The sequence below is a fragment of the Homo sapiens genome, chromosome X, assembly GCF_000001405.40.
Source record: "Homo sapiens chromosome X, GRCh38.p14 Primary Assembly".
NCBI lineage: Eukaryota > Metazoa > Chordata > Mammalia > Primates > Hominidae > Homo > Homo sapiens.
The window spans coordinates 124,336,942-124,345,861 of NC_000023.11; positions in this window are offsets into that span (position 1 = coordinate 124,336,942).

An 8,920-nucleotide genomic window follows, 5' to 3' on the forward strand; every position below is an offset into this window, starting at 1 on the left:
ATCCCACTGAAGTTCAATCTCATTTACTACCGGAGGGGCCTTCCTCTTATGAGGAATTACCCAAGAATTGGGGGCACTTCTGTAGGACCTTCAATCCATCATGATTGTCCTTTCTATCCTCACAGTCCAAGTCCACATGGTCCCGTGAAGGTTAGCATATCTTCTGCTCCAGGGTGGTGGGGCAGGAGGGGTGAGTTGGGGAGGGTGCTTCTACCTAGGCTTGGAGCTCTGATGCCTGGAAGCCAGCCTTCTGTGTACCAAGAAGCCATTTCCCTGAGATCCTGTCTCCCTGAGGTCCCCTAATGTCCCATGAACAGAAACTTTCCTCCTGCATTTCTGCCTTCCAAGTCACTGTCCCCTCTCCCCTATGCATAATCCTATCAAGTTGTTTAGGATTCTGGAAAACAGCCAGGCTGTAGCCTGTCTGCTCACAAGACAAATGTTCCCTGAGGTGAAGGGGAGTGGAGGCTGGCTACCTGCTTGGTATGGGCACAGGAATGGGGACAGAGAACAAAAGTGACCTTGCCCCGCCAGCATTCTCACTTCCCTCAGAGTCATGATTACTGGGAGGTCCTTGGTTACTTTGGAGGGGAGCACTTCAGAGGAAGGGATCCATTAGGGATGTCAGACCCAAAGCTAGGTTTTCTGGATTGGGGGCTGGTTTTATGATACTCATGTGGGCTGATAGCTCCTTGGAATTTTGGGAAGATGGGATACAGATGAGACTTGGACATGTTTCAGCATAATCCATTTTCGTATACCAGCAGGTCATTCTAGATTTCACTATAGTTGTTTCTTTTATGGCTTCAAAATGGACTCTGTTGTTAATTGGCATGCTTTTAGGCCTTTATAAAAACAGACTCACCCTGTGTATAGCTTTTATATATTTTAATATGATTACACAGTCTTTCAGGGGCAACCTTTTTCAAAACAATATGAATCATTGAGGCTGTCAGATCACTACTCTCTTCCAGGCTGCATACATGCAAGAAAAGGCAGCAGGTTTCTGTGGCATAAACCTGGGCTTTGGAGACAGAGAAAACGAGTTCAACTACTTGATCTATTATTCAGTAGCTGTGTGACCCCAAAGAATTTACTGAATGTCTCTGAGCCCCACAAGTATTAGTTCCCTTTCTCTATCTTCAGGGTTCTGCTCTGGATCCTGTGGTCATGAGTGTATGAGATTATTAATCATAGTAAGAGCTACCATTAGAGTGCTTACTATGTGTTAGGTACTCTAAGGACATTGTCCCTTTTGATGACTGTAAGGTATTATAGGTACCCATATTAATAGTTTTCAAAGTGGGTACTATTGCCCCCAATTTACAGGTGTGGTAATACCCAAATTTGGGACTTAGTGAAGCCTGGCTTCAAAATGAAATTTTACTAGTTCCAATGTCTGTACTCTCCATCATATCACACCACCTAAGGTTTTACCCTTACTGAGGGATACATGTGCATTTTAACAGGGATCATAATACCTAAACCCAAAGAAATGACTGTGATGGAGGGAATTTGAGGTATAGTGGCAGTCTGGTGGTTGTGGAGCTGCTCTTTTAGAATATCTCAAATTTTGCCTGGGTGTGGTAGCTCAAGCCTATAATCCCAGCACTTTGGGAGGCCAAGGTGGGCAGATCACCTGAGGTCAGGAGTTCGAGACCAGCCTGACCAATATGGTGAAACCCCGTCTCTACTAAAAATAGAAAAATTAGCCGGGTGTAGTGGCATGTGCCTTTAGTCCCAGCTACTCAGGAGGCTGAGAGAGGAGAATTGCTGGAACCCGGGAGCTGGAGGTTGCAGTGAGCTGAGATCATGCTACCGCACTCTGGCCTGGGTAACAGAGCAAGACTCAGTCTCATAAAAAAAAAAAATTCCAAATTTTGGGATATGTGATCGATAACCCAGGCTGCCACTGAGTAGGGCCATTTATTGTCTTAGTCACCAAGACTGCAAAATAAGGGCAATGATTTAGGCAGTGGGCATGACTTGTGCTGATTCAGCAGACTGGACTTACGAAAAGTTTATATCTGAGTTTAGTATTAAGATAGGACACATCTTGACTGCTTACCTAAAGTCTGTCTGAATTATTCAGTTTTTGTTTTAAGTGAATAAGGTGGCAGCTGTATAAGTCCAATATACAGTATATATATATATATATTTTTTTTTTTTTCCAGTGAGGAAGGAGGGGAAAATTAGATTTTGAAAACTTCAGGCTCATGTTGCCAAACGGGGATGTTTTTTACATTATGGTGCTAAATCTACAACAGAATGGCAAAGAAACACATAACTTCCTTATCACATGCTTTGTAAAGACTCAACACGGAATGGTAGCGGCTGCTTCTTATGTGGTACAGGTGCTGCACAACACTCTTCAGTGGTTTCTTCACTTCTAGCATGTGATAGAGTCAGTGCATCCACTGGCACTAAAACTCACATACACTTAATGATACTCAACAGCCCTAGCCTGTGACCTTATGAGGTTGCTGTTGAACAGATTTTTCTCATTCTCTATACTGTTTATTCTTTGGTGTTTAAGAAAAGGGTTCAGAAATAGTGAAATAGACATAGTAAGTGTTGCTGCACTGGGTATTAATAATCCCAGGAGACCTAGCACAATTTTTTGAGCACAACTCCCTATTTGGTTCACTGTTGGAGGCACTCTCTTCAATGGACTTAAGAATTACTCTACTAGGTCAGATCCTGGTCCGTCTAGGCTAACTTCTCTGGGGCATAAAGCAATTGTGGAAAAGCACCATATCATCCTGAGTGATAATTTTAAAGGTAAGCAATGCCACTAGAAATCTCTAGCTTATTTTATTACTTTACACATCAAGTAAACAGCATTCATTCAAGGCAGGATTGTTATAAGCTGGGCAATATGCTTCACTCTGTGGAAGTGATCGTTATTACCCTCAGTGACCTTGTATTCTATTAGAAGAAATAAGGTAAATATGCACCAAACAGTTCGCAGTCTTTTCATCAATTGTTCCATCATATTTTTTTGCTTGTAGATGCCAGCTTTTAAAATATTCTGTATGCATGTCAAATGACATCAATTAATAAAAGATTGCTTGTTCATTTAAAATTAAGGAAACCTATATAACTATAAAGTTCTCTCATACAAATTCTTACCAAATATAATTCTAACCTAAAAGCAGCCACTTGCCATTTTTCATTTAGGATTTTGGTGAGGATTCAATGAATTCCATTATTATTATTATTACTATTATTATTATTATTATTACATGCAGCCTAATCCCAGCAAATGGACCATTTTACTAGGCTCTTTGTAAAATTGACAATACCTCAAAATCAATATTACCTTCTTAAAATTCTATGAACCTTGGGAACACAATTTCAGGAACAACCTCTGTAGAAAGCTAGTAGTTTTAATACATGTTAAATGCCAGTGAGTGCTAAAGGATTTTAGAGAAGTGCAGTATATACCATTTTGGGTTCCAAAGCTTCCATGATAGCCAGATGGTTCCGAATTGTGTCTGCAGTCTACAAAAAGGTTGCTAGGAAAATTGGCTTTGTTTTACTTCAAAATAATATGTGGTATTACAGCTTCACTTGAGACATTTTCCAGCACTTTGTTGCTTGTGTCTATATCTGCTATTTTAGATTTTACTCTTTATTCTGCACTACATTATAAAAATAATTTAACACAAGGCAGAAACCTACGATTACTTTTGTGGTAGGCAGCATTAAACCATACCCCAGTGTTTATAAAATGATGACAATGAGCTATCTGAGGATTTTGTCTGTAAGTAAAAGTTACAGGAGATTTAATCTCATTTATTTTTTGCTTGATATATATGTTTATTTTGATAGTTTCAGTGAACCATGTTGGTTCTAGGAAGGAAAAAGATTGGACAAGTATTGAAAATTTCATACCTTTACCACTACAATTCCTGATATCGTCTAGACAGTTTTGTAACTTCAGAACATTTATGACTTGCTTTGTAAAAGGCTCATAGTATTTAACTCCTCGCTGATCAATGATTCTAGCATTTTTTTCATGAAATATTTATTACTGAGAAGGAAAAGCAAAATAATGTCAATGTTGCATATGTAACTACAAAATGCATTTAGAAATTCACCACTAGCTGTTTTGTTTGCTGGGTTATAATATTTCATTTGCATTTATAAAACTGCTTAGGGAAATGTTTATAGTTCGCTTCATTCCATTCCTTCGCGAAATTTTGGTATTTGTGATGTATACATCAAAGTGGTCATCTGTGTTTGAAAACATCAGAGATTTCTTTAAAAATGTTCAGGCAAAAATATATAGACAAAATAAGAGTCTCTTGGACTTTAATCTTTTCGATTAAAGCTCCAGTGGTGGAATTTTATTCTTGAGCTTTCAAGAAAGAGAACAGATTTTTTAGATGAAAAGCCGCAGACTCATTTACAAAGACGTAATATTTTCTTGTGCTGATAGCATACCCTGAGGGCCCCCACCCAGGATAAAGAGAGGCGGAAAGAAGATTCTGTCGCGATCCAAAGGCAACTGGTTGATGAGGCCAAATAAGTACATGATGATTTATTTGTGTGTCAGGTGCCAAGGTGTGGGATGTGAAGAGTTATATCTATAAACCAAAATGAGGCAGACCACAGGGTAGACGTTGGTAAGTGATGAATGTGAAAGAAGTCAATGTCAGAAATGATATACTTCTTGAGGCAAATTAGAAGCCACATTCTCTGCAGAGGGTTCTCTCTATAAAGGGAAAAAAGAGGGGGAAAGGAAGGGAGCTAACTAGGTGCCAGGTACTCTTTTAGGTTCTGGGTGTGCTAAGAGGAATATGACATCATCTCTGTCTTCCGGGAGTTCACAGGCTAGTAGGAGAAAATAATATTGTGTATTTGTTAGGCTCCAGGCACACCGCATATACCATCACATCTATCTTCATGGAAAAAGATAAAAACTAATGAGGAGTGGCCTTCATTTGGTCTAGAAAACATTCAAAAAGGAGAATGGGGTGATAAGACCTTATCTGTGTATCCAGGTCTTCCCAGGAGAGAAAATATCCGTATCACTTTAAAAACAAAACAAAACAAACCAACCAAACCCAAACTACTCAGTGTTCTGTTACTTTGGATGGATGAGCTTATGATCCTGTTTCCAGACCCATAAACCCAGGAAACAAAACTTGACTGTGAACTGAAGACCCTTCCAAGACATAGTAAATAAAGAGAATGAGGCTAAAATAGTATATCTGATTTGATAAGACATATAGTTATATATAGACATGCTATGAGTCAGGGCATGGGACCAGTTGACACTTGAAATGTAAGAAGAATATTCTAGAAGTCCAGATTACAGTCGCTAGATAGGAGACTGAAGCCTGAGCAATCCAGTGCAGTGACCTCAGAATTAATGTTGGGAGGCAGAAGAGGATAGTGGTGAAGTGCACAGGCTCTGCAGTCAGTGGCCTGTGTTCATATCCTGGGCCTGACATTGACCAGTTGTGCCACCTTGAATAGGCTACCTAGGTTCTCTGGGTTTCAGTTTCTTTGTCGGTAAAATGAGACTAATAATAGTATTTGCTTCACAGGGTTGTTGATATAAATAAATGAGATAATACATTCAAAGTGCTTAGCAGGATGCCTGGAATATAGTATGCAGTTAACAAATATTAGCTGTTGCTATTATTCCGAGAATGAAACCTCAGAAGCATGCAGAGTTTCAGCTAGAATGAGGGAACTTCCTTTGAGTCACGAAGGAGGCAAAATTCGTGCAATAAAAAAAAAAAAACCTGTACACAGCAGACAGAAAGATAAAAACACTTTCCATCTCGAATAGATTGTGCGAGTTAGAATATAAGTTGAGTTAGATATGCCACTACTATGTCCCTAGAGCCCCATCCTTTCCTCTATCTCAGCTCTTGTTAAGTGAATTATAATTGTCTGTTTGCTTGTCTGTCTTCTTCACTGGACCTATGAGCTACTTAGGGGCAGATACTGTACTTTTCTGTAACCTAAGTACCTACTATAATGTCTGGCATATGGTAGATGCTCATAAGTGTTGGTTGAAATAATAAAAATATTTAAGACAGGCTTAAATAAACACACACAACAACCCTGTCTCTGGCTTCTCACTTAAAAAGGGCATTTAGAAAGATTGGCCTCATAGGTAAACCCAGAGATTATCAAAAGGAGGTGCTCTTTTGTAAAAAAAACAATTTTTTTCTTTAATCATTTTTGTAAAGGAAGTGAATTTTAGTAAGTGCTGAGAGAATGTGTAAACTCACCACAGGTAACACTGTCATAACACTGTCACAGGAGAATTCACACCTATAAATGAGCTAGTGGAAGAACAAAGTTAGTTTTGAAAGGTCAGAGAAAAAGATTTTGAAATGTCAGAGCCACTCTATAAAACTGACCACCCTTGGCATCATTCTTTTAATCTACCTGGGTTTGAGAATAGCCTAGGGCATTTGAAATGAAGACAATTAGCACCTCAGACAGGGCTTCCACATGCAAAATTCTGTCACCTCTCAGAGACCTCAGGAGTTGACAAGTTTGGTTAAGAAGATACTTTCAACCTTGGCTGGCAGTTTTTCTAAAATTTCAATGCTTTTATAATCTGATTTAAATGGCATCTATATTCTAAAAGGTTGTAACTGTGAAGCTCTCTTCCTCCATTCTATGATTTTCCCCCTTAAGTTATTGTAAAATGTCAAGAATGAAAATATTTCCTTTATTGAGGGAGATTGAGGAAACAGGTCTTTGTTCTTGTGCACAAATAAGTTCAATTCATTTCCCCTCTGTTTCTCTCTAAAACACATTTGGCTTTTGTTTAGAGAATAGAATGTTAAACCTAGACGTGACCTTAGGGGTCATCTGGTTCAATTCCATTTGACAGATGGAGAAAATGAGACTCAGAGAGAAGTGATTTAGTGGCAAAACATGGCATATATTTCAACTCTCCTACTTACTGGACTACTGCTCCTTCCAATTCATCTTGTCATTTCAAAGACGACCATAGGCATGTAGAACCAATATTGTGTGTGTGTGTGTGTGTGTGTGCGTGAGTGTAAAAGAGAATTTCAGTATTTTTTCTTTTATTGAGAGCATTAAGTTCATTCATTCATTCATTCACACAACAAATATATATAGCACCTACTACTTGCCAGACACAGGATACAGTGGTGAGCAAAGTACACAAAATCCCTCCATCATGGACCTTACATTCTAGTGGGGGACACAGACGATAAACCATTAATTAAATAATTCTGCTCCTAAGTGGTTTATACTTGTACTTGGGGTCCATTCTTCCTAACTCTTTCTCTGTTGGTGCCTCTACTATCTCCATTGCTCTCCTCTTTCATTTTCTCCCATTTCCTCTCGTGTGTATGGGGAGAGAAGGAAGAGAGTCATTTCAATTCCTCTTTTCTCTACGCTTCAAGCTCAGTGTGAAGTTTTGAATTTGCTAAAGTCAGGTTTAGTACTGGTGTAGGATTAGAGTGAAGATGTCAGTATTTTTCATCAACACTGCACTAGTGGGCTGGCTCGGCTGGCTCAGCTGTCAGCTTGCTTGTAAGATGACAATGAGGTACTGGATGTGAAAGTTGTACTATTACCTTATAATTTATCTGTTTTTTAGTGCAATTTTAGTTGTGCTGAACCCCGTCATACCTGGCTGCTTTGACAGGTGTGCTATTTTAGCAACATGGAACAAAACAGAGAAAGAAAAAAAGAGTGCATGGTACGCTTGTGCTGTCAGATCCAGGTTGCTCTGTTCCTAAGTTTATGGATGATTTGTTCAGAGTTGTTAAGAGACAAAAAAAGGTTAGGTTTTGTTTTCACTTATGTGACACTGAATGTTCTCACAGTTCACCTCACAGGTCAGCTGTTGCTCATATGGACTGATATAAAGGGATCCCTTTCCCTGTCTCCTTTCTATTTGAAATTCCACCATTTTGATTAATTCCTCTGGGCTAACCATTTGCCTGCTCAATATATGGAGAGCCCAAGGTGGACAACCTTTCAAATCCTTAATGTTGGAGTATGCATTCATATATCAGATTAATTTCTTCCTTGATCCAAAGCATGAAAAGGGGTAAGAGGTGGAGTTGGTCAAAAACATGTGAGGAAGGAAGATGATAAAATAATATTGGTCCCATTCCCCAGAGCCATCCCCAAATGTCACCTTGAATGCTTTAAAAAAAAATTCTTAATGCTGAAAATGACTAGTAGGAGACTTATGTTTATACTTTGCATACTAAGGCTGGACACTCTTCAATCAAGAAGAAAAGTTGCTACCAGCTACCACTGAAATCTTAGAGGATTGTTCTTAATCCTAGTAGATGAAGAGCAAATATCTGCCTTTGGTGCAAGTCAGCTCTGTACATCCAATCCATTGGTAAGACATGTGAGGAATTAAGTGTCGTTCTCGCTATTGAGTTCCCAGCCTTGCCATATTCTCAAAGAACTACACACTGAAGTTGCAGAAAGCATATAATAGACGACATAGCTTCAGTTATTTAAATTCAAATTTTAAAAGTACTTTACATAATCTAAAGGTACATGTACAAGACCATTCAGCTTCAGCAATAAATAAAGTCTTACTCTAGTGAAAATGCAGGAAGCTTTGCGGAAATATTACCTAGCACATTTTGAAATAGAAGCAATGTTTTATTTCAGAGAAGAAAATGAAGGTTGAAAGGTTTTAAAATATTAAAGACAGTTTAGCCTCAATCGAAGAAATAACATTTTCTAGAAACAACAGAGAATAAAAGTTACAACAAAATTATCAACAACTTGCAAATGATTCAAAACAGATTTTATGGACAAAATGCTGAAAGGTGGGCCCTGTACACCAAAGGGCACATACAAATCCACATAAAGGCAAAGCACCAGTTAAATGATTCACAGTCTCATCTAAAGCCCATCAAATAGATACATCTGGAACATC